The sequence below is a fragment of the Homo sapiens genome, chromosome 1 (genome assembly GCF_000001405.40).
Source record: "Homo sapiens chromosome 1, GRCh38.p14 Primary Assembly".
Classification (NCBI taxonomy): Eukaryota; Metazoa; Chordata; class Mammalia; order Primates; family Hominidae; genus Homo; species Homo sapiens.
The window spans coordinates 114,905,369-114,932,215 of record NC_000001.11 but is presented as its reverse complement, the minus strand read 5'-3'; the positions used below and the strand labels follow the sequence as shown (position 1 = coordinate 114,932,215).

At 32.6% G+C, this 26,847-nt stretch overlaps 1 protein-coding gene across 12 annotated transcripts in view; it reads right to left on the bottom strand.

The window, feature by feature from the left end:
- The window catches only part of SYCP1 (synaptonemal complex protein 1), a 141,283-nt gene that overhangs the window by 63,155 nt on the left and 51,281 nt on the right, over positions 1-26,847 (bottom strand). For 11 of the 12 annotated variants that reach the window (NR_104211.2, XM_017002184.2, NM_001282541.2 and 8 more), the window contains 7 exons: positions 21,715-21,819; positions 20,634-20,737; positions 19,066-19,183; positions 18,171-18,241; positions 8,686-8,767; positions 5,876-5,938; positions 5,653-5,715 (listed from right to left, as the gene is read on the bottom strand). Coding sequence is in view for 11 of the 12 variants with exons in the window: in XM_017002184.2 (XP_016857673.1) it covers positions 5,653-5,715; positions 5,876-5,938; positions 8,686-8,767; positions 18,171-18,241; positions 19,066-19,183; positions 20,634-20,737; positions 21,715-21,819 (606 nt within the window). In the remaining variant the exon portion in view is untranslated. Of the gene's footprint in view, positions 1-5,652; positions 5,716-5,875; positions 5,939-8,685; positions 8,768-18,170; positions 18,242-19,065; positions 19,184-20,633; positions 20,738-21,714; positions 21,820-26,847 lie in introns of those variants that run through there. The other variant, XM_011542039.2, reaches the window with a different exon arrangement.

Here is a 26,847-nt window from a genome sequence, read left to right as displayed (position 1 = left end):
GTTTTGATGTAGTCTAACTTATTTGACATGTTAAGAATATTGCTTTCTTTGCCCTAAGAAATCTTTGCTGACCTTGGCCATGAAAGTACCCTCCTACGTTTTCTTCTGAAGACTTCAGAGTTCAAGATTGTATGCCTATAACCCATTTAAAATTAATGTTTGTATATGATCTGATGTAAGGGTCAAGGTTTGTTTTTTTTCTTTCCCATATGAATATCTGGTTATTCCAAATCATTTGTTGAAAGACTTTCATTTCTCTCCATTGAATTTTTTTGCATCTTTGTTGAAAATTAACAGTCTGTACATTTAGTCTATTTCTAAACTTTCTATTAGATTCCACTGATCTCTTTGTCTATCTTAAAAATAATACCTCATTGTCTTAATTATTATAGCTTTACAGCAAATCTTGAAATCAGGCAACCTAAATCTTCCAATTTTGTTCTACTTTCTCAAAATTGTTGGGTATTTTGATGTTCACATGCATTTTACAAGCAGTATGTAAAAGTCTACTAAAAAATACTGCTGGAATTATCATGGTGACTGAATCTCTAGATGAATTCAGTGAAATCTGACATTTTAAAAACATTAAAACATCCAATCAGTGAATATGGTACATATGTATTTACTTAGGTCTTCTTTCATTGGTCTCAGTAATGTTCAGTACTGTTCTCTGTATGGGTCTTGCACACATTTTGTAAAATTTATCCCTATTTAATGGATTTTTATGCTACTGTAAATGGTATCATGTTTTAAAATTAATTTTTCAATTACTAGCTGTTAGCATATAGAAATAAAATTGATTTTTGGCCATTGACCTTGTATCCAGTGACTTTGTCAAATTCATTTACTAATCTTGTAGTGACTTTGTAGAAACCTTGGAAATTTCCATGTAGATAGTCATGTCATTTATGAAGAGACAGTTTTATGTATTCCTTTCTCATTTGTATATATTTATTTTTGTTGCCAGAGCCTCCAGTACAATGTTGAATAGGTGTGGTAAGAGCAGACATTGCTCTTGACACTGCCTTTCATCAGTAAATAGGATGCTAACTGTAGGTATTTTGTAGATGTTCTTTATCAGATTGGAGAAGTCCTTATCTATTCCTAGTTTGCTGGAAGTTTTTTTTTTAATCATGAATAAGTGTTCAATTCTGTCAAATGCCTTTCTGCAACTATTGAGATAATTATATTATTTTTCTCCTTTATTACTTGGTACAGTAAATTACACTGATAGCTTCAAATTTTAAACCAACCTTACATTTCTGATAAATCCCATTCCTGATAAATTGTTTGATGTAATATGGTTTTTATCATGTATTAAAATCTAGATTAGATTTACTAATACTTTATTAATAATTTTATATTTATACTCATATTCATAGGGATATTGGCCTGTAATTTTCTTTTATTCAGATGGATATTGGTCTGTAATTTTCTTTTATTATAATGTCTTTGTTAGGATTTGGTATCAAAAACCTACTTGAGAATTGTTTTCACTCTTCTATTTTTTGTGGAAGACTGGTATTATTTCTTCCTAAAGTGTTTGACAGAATTTACCAGTGAAATCATCCAGATCTGGATTTTTCTCTAGGAGATATTTTAATGACAATTTCAACTTCCCTAAAAGATACATAAGAAATTTGCCCATTTTATCTACATTTCAAATTTACTGGCATGAAGTAATCCATCACAGTCCCCCCTTTCTTATCTTTTTAATGCTTGTATTATCTATGCTAATTATGTACTCTTTCATTCTTGCCTGCAGTGAATTTTACTTTCTCTCCCTTTTTTTGTGGTCAGTTCTGCTAGGGCTTATCAGCTTTATTGATATTTTCAAATAATCAACTTTTGACTTCATTTAATTGTTTCTCCTATTTATTTGATATGTCTTATTCTAATTATTTCCTTTTGTCTACTTTCTGTGAATTTAATTTGCTCACTTTTTTAGTTTCTAGATAAAAACCTAGATCACTTCTTCTTTTCTAAAATAAACATTTAAAACTCTAAATTTCCCTCTAAGAGCTCCTTTATTTGTACCTTACAAATTTTTATGTTTTATGTCTATCTCATCATTCCGTTTAAAATAATTTATCATTTTCCTTGTGATTTCTTCTTTGGCCCATGAATTATTTATTAGTCTGATGTTTAATTCTCAAATATCCGGGCTTTTCCAGATATCTTATACTTACCTACTCCTGATTCAATTCTACTGGAGTGAGAGAACATATTCTGTAAGACTTCAGTCTTCTGAAATATATGGAGACTTGTTTATGGCTCAGCATGTAGTCTATTTTGGTAAACATTCTATGTGAATTTCAACAATTTATAGTTGCAGATATAGTGTTCTATAAATATCATTTAAATCAAGGTAGTTAATAGTGATGTTCAGATTTTCTACATCCTTATAGATGTTTTAATAGTTGTTCTATCAGTTGCTGAAAGGGGGATATTATGAGTATAGTATTTTCTATTGCTCATTTTATCAAGTTTTTGCTTCATTTATTTTGAAGCTTTATTATTAGGTGCAAAGATATACCTAATTAATTGTTATATCTTTTTAATGAATTGACAACTTTATCATTATAAAATGCCCCTACTGATCTTTAATAATACTACTTGTCTTATATTTGTTATTAAAATTGTCATTTCTTATTAAAATTGTCACTCCACTTTCTTATGCTTACTATTGGCATGATAGTATTTCTTTCCTTCATCTTTTTCCTTTAAACCTCTTTGTGTCTTTATACTAAATACAATGTATCTCTTGTAATAGTATATGGTTTGCCCTTGATTTTTTTAATCTAGCATGACCATTTCTGCCTTTTTATTAAAACATTTGTCCATTCACATTTAATATAATTATTGATATGCTTGAGTTCAGATCATTATGTTATTTGTCTTCTATTCATATCTGTTTTTTTGTTTCTCTGCCCTCCCTTTGGAGTTTATCAAAGTTTTTTCATATTCCACTTCATTTCAATTCCTCTACTGACTTTTTTGCTATTGTTATGGACTAGATATTTGTATTCCCCTAAAATTCATATGTTGAAATCCTACCTCCAGTGTGATAGTATTAGAAGGTAGGGCCTGTGGGAAGTGATTAGGTCATAAGGATGGAGCCTTCATTAATGGGATTAGTGTCACGTTGTAAAAAGGATCCCAGAGAGCTCTCTTGTCCCTTCTGCCATTTGAGACACAATGAAAAGTTGGCTGTTTATGAACCAGGAATCAGGGTCCCACCAGACACTGAATCTGCCAGTGACTTGATTTTTTAATTCCCAGTCTCCAGTACTGTAAGAAATAAATGTTCATTGTTTATATGCCACCCAGTCTGTGGTATTTTGTTTTAGAAACCTAAACTAAGACAGCTATACTTCAGTTGCATTATTTTGTAGGGGTTGCTCTAAGGAGGATAGTATGTATCACTAACTTACCAAACTCTATTTAAGTGTTAATATTGTACTATTTCACATGTAATGTAAAAATGCTACAACAAAATAGTTATATTTACTCCCCTGTCCTTTGTGTTATGGTAGTCACACAGATTATAAACTCTATAATAGCAATTTGTTTTCCTTTAAGCAGCCATATATACCGTTTTAAAATTAAAAGAAAAATATATCGCCTTTTAAATTCATCTCAATATTTACTATTTCCAGTGCTTTTCATTGATCAGTTTCCATCTAATGCCATTTTCCTTCAACTTGAAGAAATTCCTTAAGTATTGCTTAGGGTACAGCTTTTGAAGTCATGTTGTCTTCATTTAATAAAGCTTTTTGCTGCATACAGAATTCTGGGTTGATGGTTTATTTTTGTTAGCATTTTATAAATGTCATTCCTTTGTCATCTGACCTTCACTGTCCTGATACAAGGTCAGCCATCATCTGTGTCACTGTTGTGCAATGTGACATTTTTTTCTGTCTGCCTTTAAAAGTTTCTTTTTATCTTTGGTTTTAGCACTTTGACTAAGATATGACTGCCTACATATGGTTTTGTGCCTATCTTGCTTTGGATTTGCTGAGGGCCATGGATCTGCAAGTTTGTTTTAAGTGTGATAAATTTTTGAGAAATTTCTCAATTAATTTTTTCTGCCCAGGTCAGGCACAGTCACTCACACCTGTAATCCTAGCAATTTGGGAGGCTGAGGCAGGTGGATCACTTGAGCCTAGGAGTTCCAGATCAGCCTGGGAAACATGGCAAAACCCCATCTCTACCAAAAATACAAAAATTAGCTGGATGTGATGGCATACTCCTGTAGTCTCAGCTACTCAGGAGGCTGAGGTAGGAGGATCACCTGAGTCCAGGAGATCGAGGCTGCGGTGAGCTGTGATCACTCCACTGCACACTCCAGCCTTGGTGCCAGAGTGAGACTCTGTCTCAAAAACGAAAATTTTATTTGCCCTATTCTCTCTCTCTTCTTACTTGGGGACTCCAATTACACACTTAAAAATACTTGTTATTGTTCTACAGGCCACCGAGGCACTATTCCTTTCTTTTAAAAACTCTTCTTCTGTGTACTTCTGACTGGGTAATTTCTACTTACCCAACTTCCAGTTTACTGACACTTGATTCATTTGTATTCAATCTACTATTAGGACCATTTGGTTTTTGTTTTGGTTTTGGTTTTTAAAGACATTTTACTTTTCAGTTCTAAAACTTCCATTTGATTATTTTCAGTTTCCATTTCTTCACTGACATTCCCCATCTAGTCTTTCATTATGACCATATTTTCCTTTCTGTCTTTGAAGATGTTTATAATAGCTGCATAAAAGACTTTATCTGCTAATTCTAACATCTGGGTTATTTCAGTGTTATTTTTTATTGACTGATTTTTATACTATTGGTTGACATTTTTGTTGTCTTCTGTTTGGGGATAATACAAAGAATGTTGCTGTGAATATTTTTGTACCTTTCTCCTTACTCTACCTAGGAGTAGAAGAGCTGAATTATAAGATATATGAATCTGCTACTTTTATATAGAATATCAACCATTTATGAAAATCCTTACTTAATTTTTAATCACATTTATATATTTTTAATTTCAAATATTATTAAAATAAGGTATAAGATTTTTATGTTTCCTTCCAAAAAGCACATAATTAATACAATGAGAAATGCTGTTTTCCATTCATAATTCAAAAACTATTTATTGAATACTTACTGTCAGTCATTGTTCAAAGACATAGGAATAAGATTACAAAATATGGCTCTAATATCAGGAGCTTACACTGTAAGGCTTTAATTTGTTTTATACAAGTAAATGGTTTTCAATCCCTTTCTGCAGCAGGATAATCACACATAGAGCTTTTTAAAATGTAGATTCCAAGAATCCATTCCACTTACTCAATTTCACTTTTTAATATGGAAGTAGGGAATATGACCACACACAAAGAGCTCATGCATGCACATATATTCTTAAGCTGCTTGAATCCAAGCTTAAGAATATATGTGCATGCTAAATCACAGATGTGTACTCTATTACAACTAAAAGAGTTGATCTCCTCTATTTAAAAAGATAACAACCTTTCAACTTTTCAATTGATACTGTTATGGTATAAATTGAATTTATACTGTATAAACAAGTGGAATAAAATGTCTAAATTCTCATCTATCTATTAGTATTTAAAAAACAAAAATAAAGATGCCAAATACCTTTATCTCATAAACATTCAGTTGCTTGCTTTCTGCTGTACCTTTTTTTTTCAAGGCCTTATTCTGTTAAAATTAAAAATAATTATATTTAGTACTAAAGTTATTCAAACTTACCTTGCTACTGACTTAGACTTAAATTACTAAAGGAAGGGAAAGCATTATTCTCTAAAACTGTGGTGAAAATATCAGTTTGATTTTGAGAATATTTATAAAAAATACATACCTCCTGCTGAAGTTCTTCAATATACTTGTTTTTATTTTCAACTTGTTTCCTTAAATTGTTACACTAAAAAATTGTGAGAAATTATAGCTATTTTATTCAGTATACCAGTTGAAACAGGCAATTTCAGACTAATAAAAATATTGCATAAAGTACTGATAAAGGTCACTTCAAAATCATGGTAATTCCATTAATATAAAAATTATACTAAAATCACAAATTTCAATAAAGATCATCTAAATACAAATGCAATCATAGCTCACTGCAACTTCCAACTCCTGGGTTCAAGTGATCCTCTCACCCCAGCCTCCCAAAGTGCTGGGATTACAGGTGTGAGCCACTATACTCAGCCTCAGTATCTCTTTTTTTAAAAAAAAAATTATCTTTGTATGTGAAGTGATGAATATGTTAACTAGCATGATTTAATCATTTCACAATGTATACATATATCAAAACATCACTTTGTATACCATTAATATATATAATTTCTCTCAGTTAAAAAAATCATTTTCATGTTACTTATATGTCAACATTCATCATTCTTATCTTTGCAATGTTTTATCAGCTTTCCCAGTTTATCTCGAATTTTTTAAATTGTCTTGTACATAAATGTTTATAATCCCCTAAATATAGCTTTCACAAACATTTATTAATTCTGAACTTTGCAACAATCCAATGAGATAGAAAGGATCGGTATTATCTCCATTTGAGAGATGAGGAAACTAAGGCTCAGATAGATAAAATATATATAAAATAAAAAATGTCTGAACTAAGGTAGCAGATTGGGGGAAGAAAAGTGTAATGAAATTCAATGTCACACAAAATATCTGGGAAATATTTACAACCTGGATTCTTTCTGGGAAACTGTTTTAACAGGTAAGTTGAAATCCAAATATGGAAAACTGAAATATGCTAAAAATTTGTCATGCATTTAATTTTTTTCCTTAAATCGTCACTAATATTTTCTATATTGGCAAAATAAAGTATGTCTTAAATTCTTAATGGAGGATTTTATTTTACATTAAAAATTAAATTCATGTTTTTCTCCATTAACAAACAACAGGCTTAATGATCTGCAGTGGCCTCTGATACAAATTTTAAAGTAGTGAATTACATACCAAGTATTTAGCACATTAAGTTCATTTTTTTCAGGTTGAATTTAACTAATAAATATGAACTAAAGGAAAAATAGCTTTTCAGGGAGGAAAATGTGTTATAATTTAAAGAATGTAGAAGACCACCTCTACTACCTCTTAGTCATGTAACCTTTTGAAGGTTTTTATCCTTTGGAGGTCTGATTTCCCAATTTATAAAATAAGAGCAATAATGACTTCTAGTTAAGTAAGATAATACATAGAAAGAACCTAGAATGCACCTGGTCTATTGTAAGCCCTTTAAAATGGTACCTTATTTCATCCTTGAACTATTCCAATAGTTTTACAGCTCTCAAAAGTGTAAATATAATTTTAACAATCTTCATGTCAAAATTCTTCAATGACCTCAAACTCTTAAATGTAGCTTAGGTGGCCTTAAATGATCCACCCTCATTTTTCCCCACCTTCATCTCTCCATGCTTACCTCTCCCTACCCTCATCTTTCCTCACTCTGCCCTCTACCACCACTACCTTAAACTCCATCTTTTAGTTACAATGAATTTTTTGTAGTTACTTAAATATGCCATGCTCTGATACTTTCAGGCTTACCCATATAATGTTTATGTTTTTTTAACTTAGAATATTATCCTCCCTGCTATACTTGTATCCACCACCTGTCCTCCACTAATCCCTATTAATCTAAGGCTTCACATTGAATGTGACTTCTTTCAGGAAGCACGCCCTAGCTCAAGTTTGGATTAGATGTCCTTTCTATAGACTCTAATAGTATCCAGATAGAGAACCTATGTTTGGTCTGGCCAGCACCCTTTCTTGCAAGAATTCCTCTACTATAAAATCCACAGTAGTCCTGCTGGCTAACTCTATCTCTATGAGTCGACATGCAGCTCAGGCTTAGCCAGGTTACTCTATCCCCTAGCCACAGTGATTGACTCAGGAATAAGTGTGAACTGAACTAGGCCAGAGTCCTCTCCAAGATTTTTTTAGAACTTTCAAGATGACTTTTAATAGCTTTCCAACTGATTCCAATGCCTTTTATCTCTCCCCATTCCATTCTCAAATATTAAAAGGTGTCACCTGCTCAATAAAAAACTTTAATTAGATCACTACTCTCTACCAAATAAATGAAATCCAAACGTAACACCCAGAACAGTGCCTGGCACATAGTAGGTGGTCAATATTTGTTGAATGAATGAAAAAACACAATCAAAGACCTCAAAATCTAGATCAATTTTCCACTTTGGCAGAATTTTCTTCCAATCTGTATAATATATACTATAATCATGTCACATATCTTGTACTATTCCATTTTCATGACACTCTTCCCTAAACACCTTATTATCTTAATTTGATATCATATTCACCAAAGCATGACACAAACTTATTAAATAATTTGTCATCCATATATTTTATATTACTGAAGTATGAGCCTTTTATTTTGCCTAAAAAATGTTAAGTCTACATTAAATATTTAACACGTTAAAAGAAAATCAGAATTATGCCACTATTTCTTCTAGATATAGATATCAATAGTAAAATAATCCAACCTTTCCTAGATATTTAAGGTTGATGGCTGATGACAGTCTCTAGATCACTATTATTTATACAACAGTATACTTCCCTTTATTTTAGTTTAGACATATGGTGTTGCTTTTATAATTTGAAATTTTGTGATACGATCCATTATTAAATATAACATACATTTTCTTCACTCTTGTCCAATTTACATTTAACTTCATCTCTTTTCTGTTTTAGCTCTTCTCTCACATATTCTAGTTCATTTCTAAAAGAAAATGGAAGAGTGACATTATACTAAAAATTATTAGGCCTATAGAAGATCTCAAATAACTCAAAATAAGGAAGTCTTAAAGACCACATTCTTTAACCAAATGTAAAAAACCAAAACTGAATACTTCATAATATAAGTACAAACAAGAGCCCCCAAATATGTGGAATTCATCTAGGCTACTAATGGATTAAACAGAAACTTAAAATATAAAAACAAGTTGTTTAGAAAATAATGAACATGGAAACACTACATATCAAACACTATATCATAAATTCATCATTGTGTTCAGAAGTAAATTGATGGCTTAAAATGTTTTTATAGTTTTAAAAAAGAGAAACTAAATATCAAAATACAAAGCAACAGGGGCAGAGCTGCCCAAGGCCTTAGGAGTCCACCCTTTGCAGCAGTGTTCCCTGAATGTGGTATATAGAGTCAAAGGAGATTATTTTGGAGCTTTAAGATTTAATGACTGCCCTGCTGGGTTTTAGATTTGCATGGAACCTGAACTCAATTCTTCTGGCTGATTTCTCCATTTTGGAATGGGAGTATTTATCAATTGTATCTTGGAAGTAATTAACTTGTTTTGATTTTACAGGTGGAGGGGATTTGCCTTGTCTCAGATGAGATTTTGGCTTTTGGATTTTTGAGTTAATGGTGGAATGAGTTAGACTCTGGGGGACTATTTGGAAGGCATGATTGTATTTAGGAATGTGAAAAGTACATGAGATTTGGGTGCGGGGAAGTGCAATGATACAGTTTGGATATTTGCTCTCACCCAAATTTCATATTGAAATGTAATCACCAATATTGGAGGTGGGGCCTGGTGGGAGGGGTTTGGGTTGTGGGGGAGGATCCCTCATGGCTTGGTGATGCCTGCAATAGCGAACTCTTGCAACATTTGGATGTTTAAAAGTGTGTCCTCCCCACCACTCTTGCTCCTGCTTTTGCCATGTGAAGTGCCTCCTTTGCTTTCTACCATGAGTAAAATTTCCCTAAGGCCTTCCAAGAAGCTGAGCAGATGCCATCACCATGCTTTCTGTATGACCTATGGAACTATGAACCAATTAACCTCTTTTCTTTAGAAATTACCCAGTCTCAGGTATTTCTTTATAGCAATACAAGAATGCCTAGTAGACATGCCTACAAGATCTAGAAAACAGCCTCAAAAGGGCAAATCTAAGAGTCATTGGCCTTAAAGAGGAGGTAGAGACAGAGATAAGGGTAGAAAGTTGATTCAAGGGGATAATAACAGAGAACTTCCCAACCTAGAGAAAGATCTAAATATTCAAGGACAAGAAGGTTATTAGAATACCAACTATATTTAAACCAAAGAAGGCTTCCTTAAGGCACTTAAAAATCAAACTCACAAAGGTCAAGGATAAAGAAAGAATCCCAAAAGCAGCAAGAGAAAAGAAATAAATAACATATAGTATGTCTGGCAGCAGACTTTTCAATGGAAACCTTACAGGCCCAGAGAGGGTCATGACATATTTAAAGTGCTGAAGGAAAAAACTTTTACCCTAGAATAGTATATCCAGTGAAAATATCCTTCAAACATGAAGGAGAAATAAAGACTTTTTCAGACAAACATAAGCTAAGAAATTTCATTAACACCAGACCTGTCTTACAAGAAATGGTAAAGAGAGTTCTTCCATCTGAAAGAAAAGAATGTTAATGAGCAATAAGAAATCATCTGAAGATACACAACTCACTGGTAACAGTAAATACATAGAACATTATAACACTGTAATTGTGGAATGTAACTACTCATATCTGTTTTTGTTTTTTTTTTTTGAGACAGAGTCTCACTCTTGTCACTCACTGCAACCTCCACCTCCCAGATTCAAGCAATTCTCCTGCCTCAGCCTCCCCAGTAGCTAGGATTACAGGCACCCGCCACCACACCCGGCTAATTTTTCTATTTTTAGTAGAGACAGGGTTTCACCATGTTGGCCTGGCTGGTCTCAAACTCCTGACCTCAGGTGATCTGCCCCCCTCAGCCTCCCAAAGTGCTGGGATTACAGGAGTGAGCCACCGTACCTGGCCTCGTATCTTAAGTAGGAAGACAAAAAGATGAACTGATGAAAAATAATAACAATTTTTCCAGACATAAACACAATAATAAAATATAAATAAAAACAACAAAAAGTTTAAAACCAGGGAAACAAAGTATAGAGTTTTTATTAGTTTTCTCTTTGTTTATTTGCTTATGCAATCAGTTAACTTGTCATCAGTTTAAAATAATGGGTTATAAGATATTATTTGCAAGCCTAATGGTAACTTCAAATAAAAAAAATACAACAAATAAACAAAAATGAAAAAGTAAGAAATTAAAATATACCACCAAAGAAAATTGCCTTCACTAAAAGGAAAACATGAAGGAAAGAAAGAAGAGACCACAAAACAACCAGAAAACAAATAACGAAATGGCTAGAGTAAGTCCTTACTTATCAATAATAACATTGAATGTAAATGGACTAAACTCTTCAATCAAAAGACATAGAGCAATTGAATGGATAGAAAAACAAGACCCAACAGGCTGTTGCCTAACAAGAAACACCTCTTCACCTGTAAAGATACACAGAGACTGAAAATATAGGAACGGTAAAAGAAACTCCATGCAAATGGAAACTAAAAAAGAGCAGAAATAGCTATACTTATGCCAGACATTATGGATTTCAATACAAAAACTATAAAAAGAGACAAAGAAGGTCATTATATAATGATAAAGGGATGAATTCAGCTAGAGAATATAACAATTACAAAGATATATGCACCCAACACTGGAGCACACAGATATATAAAACAAATATTATTAGAGCTAAAGAGAGATAGGTTCCAGTAAAATAATAGCTGGTAACTTAAACACCCCACTTTCAGCACTGGACAAATCACCCAGACTTTGAGCATCCAAAGAAACATCAATCAATCTGCACTTTAGACCAAATGAACCTAATATATATTTACAGAACATTTCATCCAACAATTGCAGAATAAACATCCTTCTCCTAAGCACATGGAACATTCTCAAGGACAGACCATACGTTAAGCCACAAAACAAGTCTTAAAACATTTAAAAAATTGAAATCAGATCAAGTACCTACTCTGACTACAATGAAATTGAACTGAAAGTTAATAACAAGAAGAATTTTGAAAACTGTAAAAACACATGAAAATTTAAAAATATGCTCCTGAATGGTTAGTGGGTCAATAAAGAGATTAAGAAGAAAACTGAAAAATGTCTTGAAACAAAGGATAATAGAAAGATAACATACCAAAACCTATGGGATACAGCAAAAGGAGTATTAAGAGGTGTGTTTGTAAGTGCCTACATCAAAAAAGTTTTAAAAAGTCAAATAACCTAATGATGCATCTTAAAAAACTACAAAAAGAAGAGCAAACCAAACCCAAATTAGTAGAAGAGAATAATAAAGATCAGAGCAGAAATAAATGAAATTAAAGAAAACAATACAAAACATCAACAAAACAAAAAGTTGGTTTTTTGAAAAGATAAAATTGACAAAACTTTAGGAAGACGAACTAAGAAAAAAAGAGAGAAGACCAAAATAAATTTTAAAAAGGAGATGAAAAGGGAGACATTATAACCAATATCACAGAAATTCAAAGGATCATTAGAGGCTACTCTAAGCAACTACACATCAATAAATTGGAAAACCTAGAACAAATGGATAAATACCTAGACACATACAACCCTCCAAAATTGAACCATGAAGAAATCTAAAACCTGAACAGACGAAAAACAAGTAATAAGATCAAAGCTATAATAAAAAGTCTTCCAGCAAAGAAAAACCCAGGACCTGATGGCTTCACTGCTGAATTTTTCAAAACATTTAAAGAATTAATATCAATCCTACAGAAACTATTCCAAAAAATAAAGGAGGAGGGAATATAGCTAAACTCATTCTGTGAGGCAAGTATTACCCTGATACCAAAGCCAAATAAAGACACATAAAAAAAGGAAACTAAAGGCCAATATCCCTGATGAACATTGATGCAAAAATCTTCAACAACATACTAGCAAACCAAATTCAACAATACATTAAAAAGATCATTAATCATAACCAAGTGAGATTTATCCCACAAATGTAAGGATAATCAACATATACAAATAAATCAATGTGATACATTATATCAACATGCTATAGGACAAAAACCATATGATCATTTCAATTGATGCTGAAAAGCATTTGATAAAATTCAACATCTGTTCATGATAAAAACCCTCAAAAAACGGGGTACGGAAGGAACATAGCTCAACATAATAAAAGCATATATGACTGACCCACAGTTAGTATCATACTGAATGGGGAAACACTGAAGGTCTTTCCTCTTAGACCTGGAACACAGCAAGGATGCCCACTTTCACCACTGTTATTCAACATAGTACTGGAGGTCTTAGCTACAGGAATTAGACAAAAGGAAGAAATAAAGGGCATTCAAATTGGAAAAGAAGTCAAATTATCCTTGCGTGCAGATGTATATTTCTTGGAAACATGTATATTTCCAAGTATAATCTTATACTTGGAAAAGCCTAATGATCTCACCAAAAAACTATTAGAACTAATAAGCAAATTCAGGAAAGTTTCAGGATAAAAGAATCAGTAGCATTTCTATATGCCAACAGCAAACAATCTGAAAAATAAATCAAGAAAGTACTCCCATTTACAATAGCTATAAATAAAATTAAACACCCAGAAATTAACCCAACCAAAAAAGTGAAAAATCTTTACAATGCAAACTATAAAACACTGATTAATGAAATTTAAGAGGACACACAAAAAAAGGAAAGACACTACGTGTTCACGGACTGGAACAATCAATACTGTTAAAATGTCTGTACTACCCAAAGCAGTCTACAGATTCAATGCAATCTCTATCAAAATACCAATGACATTATTCACAGAAATAGAAGAATCAATCCTAAAATTTATATAGAACCACAAAAGACCCAGAATAGCCCAAGATATTCTGGGCAAAAAGAACAAAACTAGAGGAATTACATTACCTGATTTCAAAATGTACTACCTAGCTATAGTAACCAAAACAGCATGGCATTAGCATAAAAACAGAAATATAGACCAATGAAACAGAACAGAGAACTCACAAACAAATCCATTCATCTGCAGTGAACTCATTTTTGACAAAGGTGCCAAGATCACACATTGGGGAAAGGATAGTCTCGATACACAGTGCTGGGAAAACTGGATATCCATATATCCATATGCAGAAGAATGAAACTAGACCCCTATCTCTTGCCATATATAAAAATCAAATCAAAATGGATCAAGGACTTAAATCCAAGATCTCAAGCTATGAAATTACTAAAAGAAACCGTCGAGGAAACTCTCCAGGACATTGGACTGGGCAAAGATTTCTTGAGTAATATCCCACAATTACAGACAACCAAAGCAAAAATAGATAAGTCAGATCACATCAAGTTAAAAAGCTTCTGCACAGAAAAAAAAAAATCAACAAAGGGAGGACACAACCCACAGCATGGGAAAAAATATTTGTAAACTATCCATCTGACAAGGGATTAATACACACAATATATAAGGGGCTCAAAAAACTCTATGGGAATAAGTCTAATAATCCTATGGGAAAAAATGGGCGAAAGATCTAAATAGGCATTTTTCAAAAGAAGACATACCAATGGCAAACAGGTATATGAAAAGGTGATCAACATCATTGATCATCAGAGAAATGCAAATCAAAACTACAATGAGATATCATCTTACCCCAGTTAAAATGGCTTTTATCCAAAAGTCAGGCAATAAAAAATACTGGCGAGGATGCAGAGAAAAAGGAAACCCTCATACACTGCTGGTGGGAATGTAAATTCGTACAACCACTATGGAGAATGGCTTGGAGGTTCCTCAAAAATAGAGCTACCGTATCACCCAGCAATCCCACTCCTGTGTATACACCCAAAAGAAAGGAAATCAGTATATCTAAGAGACATTTGCACTCTGTTAATTGAAGCACTGTTCACAATGGCCAATATTTGGAAGCTATGTAAGTGTCCATCAACAGGTGAATGGATAACAAAAATGTGATGCATATACACCATGGAGTACTATTCAGCCATAATAAAGAATGAGATCTTGTCATTTGTAACAGCATAGATGGAACTGGAGGTCATTAAGTTAACTGCAATAAGACAGGTACAGACAGACAAACTTTGCATGTTCACTTATTTGAAGGAGCTAAAGTTACAACAATTGAACTCATTAAGATAGAGAGTAGAAAGAGGGTTTCCAGGGGCTAGGAAGAGTAGTGGTGATAGGAGGAAATGGAGATGGTTAATGAGTACAAAAAATAGAAAGTGAATCACATCTAGTATTTAATAGCACAACAAGGTGATTATAATCAATAATAATTTACATGTACTTTTTTTAAAAGTAAAAGTATAATTGGGCTATTTGTAACACAAAGGATAAATGCTTAAAGTGATGCATACCCCATTTACTCTGATATGATTATTACACATTGTATGCCTGTATCAAAATGTCTTATATACCCCATACTTATATATACCTACTATGCACCCACAAAAATTAAAAATCGAAAATTAAAAAGAAACCTTAAAAGAAGCAATGGTAAAATCACAAAAGACAATCAAGTTTAATAAAAAATTGAAACCTTTCATATAATAAAAAGTTCTCTGAAGTTAAAGGAAAACAACAGGTTAGGGAAAATATGTGCTATAAATAAACCAGGTAAAAGATTAATATATTTTTAGAAGCTTAAGCAAATCAATAAAAAAAAAAAACCTCAAAAGATTAGAGGGCAACAGGTATAAGCAGACAATTTTAAAAAGAAGAAATTCTAAAATCAAACTTGAAAGCTTCCAAAGCTTATCCAAAAACTAAAAATCACAAATCATACCAAAAATGACTTATCCTTATCTTTTAAATTATCAATAAATTAATAATACCCAATATCAATTAAAACATTTTAGGACCAGCATTTTCATATAATATTTGTTGTATTGCATGGTTTACAATGATACAACCTATTGGAAACTAACCATCAAGCCATAGAAATCATTATTACTATGATCCAATTCAAAATAAGGAAAAAGTATTTATGTGCCAACATGTTTACTAGTATTATCTATGAAAATGAAAAACTAAAAAACATAAATATCCAAAAGTAAAAATGACTAAAATAATGTCATTACATCCACTTGAATGACTGGTAGATGGGCATTAAAATAGATGACTGTGAAAACACATAAAAACATTAATAATGCTAAAAATAATATTAAATGGAAAAACCACATACAAAATTATATATGTATGATTATAAGCAATGACCAAATACATTCTTTAAAATATAGAGTGGGTACACCTATGGGAAGCTGACTTCCCTCAGTCGGGCACTTCTCATGGGGGCTGAACATGGTTCCTGCCATTCTGTTACCCACTCTCCCAGGTGAGCCCTGGATTGGCTCCCAGAACGCCTTTGTAAAATCAGTAGCCATCCTGCAGGCAGGCGGGACAACAGGGGCTTCAGTAGCTTCATTTTCCTGTCTTGCAGACAGAGACCCTTGGCTACCACTGTGCTGCTAATAGGATAAGTACTCTGTTGCCGGATTACCATGCCTTTTATACAAAACCAAATTAACTTACCTAATACCTGACACCTCTTTGGGCTCTGAACTGCTTTCTCTCATCAAGCATGCTAGCCCTCTAGACAGAATTCTAGAAATTTGGCAGATAGTGGAAGTCTTTAATTGAACTTACTCCTTATTTGACTGAAAAGAGTTTTAAATTCTGAGCTCCTGAGATACTGACTAGCAACCATGGAATGAATGTGTGACCAGAAAGTGGCTTTGACACCAAGTGCTGCTGTCCCTTTGTAATTGGCTTCTAACGGATTCAACCAGAAATAACTGATAATGTGAATTTGTGTTAATTGTTCACTTGTAGGAAAATAGAACACGTATCACCCTTTGTTAGGTAGACATGAACTTTTCCTGCACAAAGCCTTGCTTTTAGAGAATGCCCAATAAGGCAAGAAAAAGCATAGTAACTTGTGCTTTGAGAGCTCAATATTTGTATCTTATCAGTACAGAAGAAATATTTCTGTGTAACTTGATCTTCTGTCTAGTACTTGTCTTATAGGTAACCAACACTGAAAACTTTGTAGTGATGGCTACCAAAGAAATACAAAAAAACAACCTTTTATTTCCAAATTGTTAAAGAGCCAGCCATTGATGCTGCTACCTGAGTTCCATGCTCAAGAGCCATTGTAAGAGATTAAGGGGTTTCTAGGTTTTTGGTGATTTTTTGTTTGTTTTTTTCTTTGTTTTTTAGTTTGTTTTTTTTTTAGTTTTTTTTCTTCTTTCTTTAATTTTTTGATTAAAACATACACACAGCTGTTAGCATAAAGTCGTGGGGGGCATTTTCTGATTAACTGCAAAGCCCAGGTTGCCTCTCGTGAAAAAATCCTGTGTCTTGATAGCATGGATGCTGTGTGTGTGCATGTGTGTGTCTGCATTCATGCCTTAACTCGGGTTACTGCTCAACTTTAGTTCTTGACTTAGTCTGCACCATCATCTAGATTGTATTGTACATCTCGGTCTGAACTTCATCCTAGCAAAAACAAAGTTGCAGGCACAACAGTTTAAGAATGCATTCCTCCAGAAAAGTATCTGGTCAGGTTCACCCTGAGCCTTCTTTGGACTTAATTTGGAACTTAGCCTAGAAAGCAAAAGTGGACTGTCCAACAGAAAGATGTCAACAAGGAAAAGAGGAGAGCCAAGCGCTAGCATGCCTTTTGCCTCTGCATATCTGTGCACACTGTATGTTGTTCATGATAGCTTGTCTACAACTTGACTAGGTTGGAGTTCTGGTAATAGTGGCAATCTTGACATTCTTGGTCAGAGTTTAGAGAGATGTAAGACCTTCAACTAATGTCTTATTTACTCCTTTATGTTGATTAGTCTTTGATACATGTGCTGAATCAGAAACCTAAATAAAGATAATTTTTTAAAATGTAAAAAAAAAAATATAGAGTGGGTATAAATACTCTAGTATTATAATAGTTCATATGATTAGAAGTAATTTTTAAGATTTCTATATTTTATTAAATGTGATTAATATATTTTCTTAATTAAATATTAAAGAATTAGAAGGTTTATGATGCTTTAAAATTTCTGTCTAATCTCACTAACTTTTAACACTAAGTATAAAGTAGACATTATTATAATTTTATTTTTAAGCAGGATTCCACAACAGTGATTTATATCTAATTTTTACTTTATAAAATATTCAACAGCAGTCCAATTTAAATTAATGATAACAAGTTAATAGAAAAGAAATATCAAAATCTTTTGCCAGACAAAAAAAGGCCAATTTGTTAGTCTTGCCTTAATTGGGTTTCTGTTTCTTGAAGATTTTCTATTTGTTTCAACATCCTTTCTTCTTGCTTTTTGTTATTCTAAAGAAATAATGTTGTTTATATCAATTATTTTGTTTAAACAAAAATAAAATTTAAACTACTATTTAAGACCTTTATCTATCAGCATAAAATTTATTTAGTTATATATAAAGCAAAAAAATGGGCTTTTCAACTTGTATAGTTCCATACTACTTTTTTAAGCCTTACTTTAATTATTCTCCCAACAATCTCTATATAACAGTTAACAAAACAAGTATCATTTGGTTTTCCAGCGTTACTTTGAGTCTGTATCCTTTGTTCATATTGTCACTTCAAGTAATGTTTTCCATTCATTGTTACCTACTGAACTCATAATTCACCTTTTAAGACCAAAATCAATGCTATATTCTCTCAGAAGCCTTCTCTTTATCCAAAGCAGAAGTGATCCTGCAAACTCTGATAGCACCTTGTCCCACTAACAACATATATGACATACTATTTTGCTTAAGTTATGTGAGAAATTACTATTTTTTATTAAGTCATAAGTTCTTAAAGAGAAAGGGTGACATTTTATTCATCATTGTATCCTCCACAATCTTGTATGACTTAATAAATACCTATTGACTAAATACTTTTTAAAAATCTTGATGCCTAAAATTAAATTAACTTTTTCTAGTAATGGCTTCCATTTTAATTTTAATCAGAGGGTAGCCTCTGTTGCCTATTACCACCCTATAAGACCAATATGCATATTTTTCTGCTAAAACAAAGTTTTAGCTCTAAAGCAATCAGACTTTAAAGGTCAAAGGGTCTTTAGAGGTCATCTATTCTAACCTGCTAATTGGAAGAAAACTAAGTCACCAGCACTTTCTTTTTCAACTCACATTAATATCTTCTTGCTGATTCTTGAGTTCTAGGGTCATATCACTTGTTTCCTGTGTGAGCTCTTTGTTTTCTAGTGAAAGCTTGTTGCAGTGTGAAGTTAATTCAGTATTCTTAAGCCTATTTTTTAAAAAAAAAAGTCATACCAAAATATTTACAAATGTAATGACATAATATGGAATTTTATTCAACATAATGATAGGGGAAAGGGATGAAGGGCTGGGGGAAAAACATGAAACAAAATTGACTATTGGTTTATAATTCCTGAAGCTGGGTGATAGGTTGATCATTACATTATTCCTTCTAATTTTTATATTTTTGAAATTTTTCTTTACTAAATTTTCAAATGTCATACAATATATTTCCTTGCATGTTCCCTGTTTGCTCATCCTTTCATACTTTCCACAAATTTTGAAGAGCACATTATTTTCTTCAATAATTTTTTCCTCTCCATTAGACTGTCTCTTAGAAGTTATTTCAAACTTCCTATAACCTGATTAAAGTAGTACACGAAGCATTAGCTGTGTTTAATTAAGATATTTTTACCTGCACGTTGTGCACATGTACCCTAAAACTTAAAGTATTTAAAAAAAAAACTGAATTTAACTTTTTTGCACAACACCTAACTTGCTCTTAAAAGATCTCAAATGTTCTACTTTGGAAGAGAGATTATTGCTGTATTGCTTACATCCAATATCAATTTTAAATGAAGGCGGAGGAGTATGTGGCTCTACAGAGTGATTTTAGGAGCATCTATTATCTATTTCTACTTAATGATACTGGAAATTCATCAAAGAGGAGATAAAGTGTTTCACTAAGCCAATGAAAAGTTGAAAAGCAAATATACTAAGGATAACAAATTTACATTAAAGTACAAATAACTAACCAGTCCATTCATTAAAAGGGACATTAGTTAATAGATGAGTTTAACCTAGGGCCCTTAAAAAAGTACTATTGAAAAGGTACCAGAAATAGAGAATTAGATAAAAAGGAAGGGAGAGGATGCTGCATAAACTGTTTACTTCTCATATTTAATCTAGCACTGAGAAGCCACCAAAAGGGGAAAATCATGCTCACCACCACTATACTGGCTACTTGAATTTACTTTTCTCTGAGTAATAATACAATAATAATTTCCCCGCTTTCTCTCCAAATTAAACTTACTGAGTAGGTAAAATCATCCAATTCAATATTTTATTTGGATAATGTAAGAAATAATTTTTTATTTTGACACTTTATCAGCAAAAACCTATAAAATAATTTAGCAAAACAACCAAAACAACCAGTTAGAACTGAAAATGATTATTTTTATGGGGAACTAAATACCTCTAAGAAAAGTAACACATTGATCTAAAGTGGTTCTCAAATTTGGGATGTACTCTTTCTTTATGTCAGTGATATGTACTTTCTTTAGCAATGAAATTAGCACATTATTTAGATCCTTAAGAGTAAAATACAATTTCAAATCCATTCAAATAAATATTAAATATAATTTACTAAATTATTATTTATTATCAGAAAGCTTAGGAATTGAGTACATAAACTATTTTTAGATAAATGGAAAACATACTTCTCGTTTTCAAGCTCAGTTTTTAGATCTTTAACCTCTTTTGAATAATACTGTTCACTTGTGGTAATGGCAGTTAACTGTATTTCCAAATCATGTACTTCTTTCTGCAAAATAAACATATATAACTATGGCAAGTGTTTTTCGAATTTTCTCATTTAAAAGGTATAGTCACTGTGTAATTAAGTCATATATTTGGCAAAAATTTGGCAGGTTATGTCAAATATTTTAAACGAGTAAATTTAAAGTGAATAATCACTATAATTTTAAAACAATGAACAATGACATATTCAGTATAAGTAAATTCTATCTCGATATTGTAAAATTCAACCAGAAAAACATTTATATGCTATAAAATATTCTCACTCTGCCAAGTAACTAATTTCTATTAAAATGTTATATTATCAAGGAGAAATATATTAATTGATGAAATCAGGTAGTGTCTTAAAAAACTAAAATGTTCTTATTATTATAAAATAATAAGAACTATAATGTTCTTATTATTGTAAAAAGACAAGATGTAATACTGTCATGGACTGGAAACATACTTTAAAATACAAATTCTAAAACTATAACATGAGCACTATAAAAAGTACTATAAACTAAGAACCTAACTTAATGAAGTCTAAATTTCAAATGTACCAATTAAGAAATACTTGGCTAGGCATGATGGTGTGCCCCTATAATCCTAGCTACTTGAGGGGATGAGCCAGGAAGCACAGGAGTTCAAAGCTGCAGTGTGCAATGATTGTGCATTTGAATTAGCTACTTCACTCCAGCCTGGGCAACATAGCAAGACTCTGTCTCAAAAGAAAAAATACTCAAGACATCAAGAAATATCACTATTATAAACCATAGCATAATGCATCATATTGATCTTTTAAATGCTGATCTTTCTCACATTATAATATGGGGGTTGTCTAGATGTGTTTTAAATCAATCATAAATATATTAATGTAATAATAAATGCTTGGAAAGGAATTTTGTGAAGAAATCTTTAACAAAAGAAATACTTATACCATAATCCATAAATCTATGTTCTATTAACAAAATATTTAAAATAAAAATGTTTCCTTAAACAAACCTCTCTGGCTTGGAGAAGACCAATTAGTTCTTGTTCTGTTCCTTTTAATTCTTCAGCAATCTTCTCAAATTGTTTATTTTCATATAAAAGTGTTTCCTTTTCTCCCTATTTATAAACATTAACAAATCAGGAATGCCAAACCATACACATAGTGAAAGTAATCAAACTGCCCAAATGGAGCTGTGGAAAGAACTATGAGCTTCCCCCTGGCTAAAATTCTTTAAAAAGAGAAAATTAGTCAATATTAAGTAAATTCAAAGACTAAACATGATGACAGACAATTCAGTAGACACAGCCCTGGAACACAATAATTAATTGTTTAGTTACAGATGATTAATTTCTCATCATTCCTTCTACTATCCAACACAGCATATATTTATGAACTCACTTTTTACTTTGTCTTCCCAAGCATGACATCACAATGATTTTATAAAAGGCCTCACAATAAAAGGTCCTATATTATTAACCATAAAAACTACTAATTGTAGTTAAGGAGTTTGAATTTTATCTATAGACAATGTGGAATCATCATAAATGTTACTGTAACAATATATAATCCTATTTGCGATTTTAAAAGATAACACTAGCAATAGTGCAGAAGAAAGCTTAAGTAGGGCGAACCTAAAAACAAGAAAGCCAGTAATGAGACTACTGTGCCAAAACAAATGCAAGATGAAAAGTGTTTAAATTATATCAAGGACTGTGGAGACAGATTGATAACAATAACCATGGTTTCATGCTTTCAGATGACTTCTGTATGACCAGCCCTCACTAGATGCTTAAAATATATTTTCATTCTTTACACTACTCTATGGAAGTCAGATTTTTATGTCTCCATTTGAAGGATCAAAAAATAGAAGCAGTCTTTTAGCTTTCAGTATGTCACTATAATCTCATGCCCAGAGACCAACTCTCCCACTGAAAACTTCTATAAACTCTGGACAAAATACATAAATACATATAAACGTGTGTGTGTGTGTGTGTGTGTGTGTGTGTGTGTGTGTGTACAGCAAGGGAGAGAGAGGGAAAGAAGGAAGGAGGGAGGGAGGGCGGGGGAGAGAGAGAGAGAGACAATATATAACCTAAGGATTTTAACAAGTAAAAAAAAAATTAACACAAGTGGCTGGAAGAGGAGTGAGTTTGTCAGTTTTGGTAGCTTTGTCCCAATGGTGAAATGTCACTGCTAAGCAGTGTGGTATAGGCAGCTAAAACTACAATAGAAACCCCACCATCTCTCTTGCTAGAGGAACCTGGTAGAACCAGGGAAAGGAGCCCTGGGACCCACAACCAGCTGCCAGAATATAAAGGAGAAATCATACAGAACAAAGAACCACTGAAAGTAATCTCCTGATTCTATGTATGAATACTACACAAATTTAAAAACAACCCATGAAGCATACATTCATATACAGAGTCAAAAGTAGTACACCAAAGGCTCAGAGAATTAAACTAAGATTTGAAGCACCATTTATAGAAGGTGAGATAAAGTTTATTTTTGAATCTAGCAAACTGATAGATAAAACAAAAACATTTACATTATTCAGAAGAATGTAACAGAATCTACATAATATAACCTTCACAATGTCCTGAATATAATCCAAAATTATTCAACATACAAAGAACTGGTAAAATGTCAACATTCTCAAGGGAAAAGGCAACAGATATATGCTAACCCCAGTATAACCAAGATGTGAGAACTTTATCAGATGAGAACTTTAATGCAGCTAATTCAGTTTTGCTCAATCAGGTATAGGAAATACTCTTAAAATGAATAAAAAGATAGAAAATCTAAGGAAAGAAATAGAAAATAAGAACAAATGGAAATTTTAGAGCTGGTAAAAAAAAATTCATTGAATGCTCATGGGAGCACAATGGAGATTACAAGGAAAGAGACAGTGAATCTGACTATCAGAACAACAGAATCGATAGTCTGAAGAATACAGAGAAAAAACATTGAAATAAAATGAATAGCACCTCAGGAACCCGTGGAACAATATAAAAAGATCAAATCAATGTATAATTGTAATCTTAGAAGGAGAAGACAGCAAAAATAGGGCAGAAAAATATTTAAATGGCCAAAACTTCCCATATTTGAAGAAAGTTAAAAATTTACAGATTTATGAAGTGCAGTGAATCTCAAATATAATAATTCAACTTCACTTACATACTGCTGAAAATCAAAGTTAGGGAGAAAATCTTGAAAGCATGTGAGTCTCTCATTAGAAAACATGGAGGATCAAAGACAATAAGACATCATCTTTAAGGTGCTGAAAGAAACAAAACTGTCAACCCACAATCCTATAACAAAAAAAAAAAAAAATCCTTCCAGAATGAAGAGTAAATAAATAATATATTCAAAAAGAAAAACTAAGAAAATTTGTCAGCAGCAAAACTGCACTACAAGAAATACTAAAGGAAGTTCTTTAGGCTGAAGGAGAACAATATTAGAGGTAAACGTGGATCTTCAGGAAAAAATAAAGAATATCACAACTGGTAAATATTGCAATAAATATAAAAGATCATTTTTCTTCAAGTTATTTAAAAAACATATGACTACTAAAGCAAAAATTATAGCACTGTCTTGGAAGATGTAAATGCATGTAGGTGTAATATATATGACAACTCTAGCATAAAGGACAAAGTGGGAAAAGGACATAAATAGGGAGGCCGAGGCGGGTGGATCACGAGGTCAGGAGATCGAGACCATCCTGGCTAACACGGTGAAACCCCATCTCTACTAAAAATACAAAAAATTAGCCAGGCGTCATGGCGGGCGCCTGTAGTCCCAGCTACTCGGGAGGCTGAGGCAGGAGAACGGCATGAACCCAGGAGGCGGAGCTTGCAGTGAGCGGAGATCATGCCACTGCACTCCAGCCTGGGCAACAGAGCAAGACTCCATCTAAAAAAAAAAAAAAAAAAGTTTCAACATTTAACATGAAGTGGTACAATATTAACTCAATATAGACAAGGTAATGGATACATGCTGTAATCCTTAGAACAGCCACAAAAATAAATGCAGAGAAGTATAGATAAAATACCAGTAGATACATTAAAACGGAATGCCAAAAAATATTCAAATAACCCAAAAGAAGGCAGAGAGTTTAAAAGAGGAACAAAACAAAGGAGCAAACGGAAAACAACTTTTAAATGGTGAATCTAATCTAAGCCACATCAACACTTAAACAACAATTTTTAAAGATATCAATGGTCTAAATTCTCCAATTAGCAGTGATTGTCGGAGTGCATAAAGAAAGAAGACCCAATTATATGCAGGCTACATATAAGCACATATGTACAAATATAAAGTCAAATGTAGGTTGTAAGATATATCATGCAAACAACAAGCATAAGAAACATGGAGTGGCTATAATAATATGTTAAAATAGACTTTAAAACAAAAAAGTATTATCAGAAATTGAGGGCATTTAATTATAATCAAAGGGTCAATTCATCAAGAAGATATGGTAGTTAGATATAAATGTGAAGTTTATAGCAGAAGTTCAAAACACACGAAGCAATCACTGATAGAATTAAATAGATAAATAAACAATTCCAAAATCCTACTAGTTTTAACTCTTCTCTCAGTAAATAATAGAATTAGACCCAAAAATTCAATTAAAAACATATATTTGTACAACACCATCAGCCAACTGAGCCTAATTGACAATTACAGAACACTCTACCTAACAATAGCAGAATACATATTATTTTCAGTGCACATGGAACATTCACTAAGATATATCATATCTGATACATAAAACAAACCTTAAGAAATTTTTTACAAAAGTACATTCTCTGACCATAACAAAGTTAAACTAGGAAAGAATAACAAAAAATAACAGGAAATTCTCCAAATACATGGAAATTGAACAATAGACTTCTAAATGGGATCAAAGGAAAACCCTCAAGAGAAATTTAAAACTATTTTAAACTAAATGAGAATACAACACATAAAAATTTGTGAAATGCAGCTGAAAAGGTGACTAGAGGAAATTTATAGCATGCAAATGCTTACAAAAAAGAAAGGTCTCAAAACAATCTAAACTTCCACCTTAGGAATCTAGAAAGAGAGCAAAATAAACTCAAAGTAGCAGAAGGAAGGAAATAATAAAGATATGAGCAGAAAACAATGAGATTGAAAACAGAAAAACAATAGAAAGAATCAATGAAATATAAACTAATTATTTGAAAAGATCTATGAAATTAAGAAACCTCTACCAGACTAATAAAAAAGGGGCCGGTCACGGTGGCTCACACTTGTAATCCCAGCACTTTGGGAGGTCAAGGCGGGTGCATCACTTGAGGTCAGGAGTTCGAGACCAGCCTGGCCAATACGGTGAAACCCCATCTCTACTAAAAATACAAAAAATTAGTAGGGTGTGGTAGTGCATGCCTATAATCCCAGCTACTCAGGAGGCTGAAGCAGGAGAATGACTTGAACCCAGGAGGTGTAGGTTGCAGTGAGCCTAGATCATGCCATTGCACTCCAGCCTGGGTGACAGAACAAGACTCCATCTCCAAAAAAAAAGAGACAAAAAAGAGAAATGACACAACAACCAATATCAGTAACAAAAAGAAGGTAATCCTACAGACTGTACAGATATTTAAAAGGATAACAGGAAATGCTACAAAAAATTCTATGCACAGAAATTTGACAACTTGGGGGAAATGGACTAATTTCTTTAAAACCAAAAACTACCAAAATCATTCAAGATTAAACAGGTAACCTGCATAGTTCTATAACAATAAAAAAAATTAAATCCATAGTGAAGACCTTGCCAAAAAGAAATCTCTAGACCCAAGTGGTTTCACTAGAGAATTCTACCACTTAAAGAAGAAATTATACCAATTTTACACAATCTCTTCCAGAAAACAGAAAAGAAACAAAAGCTTCTATGGAGCATAAAACAACTCTATCTTGGAAGCTAATCTACCATGTTGGCTTCTGCTTAACCCCTGTTCCAGAAAGTCCTCTAAGATTTCCAGTTTATCTATTGTTCCTTGTGTACAAGAAGGTACTTCCCGTAAATCCTGCCCTTAGGACATATTTCTAGTATTGCCTCTGAAGCACATGTACCCCTCCTCTAAGGTATATAATCCTTGGGTCTGGGGGTTAACGATGCAGGGATTCAT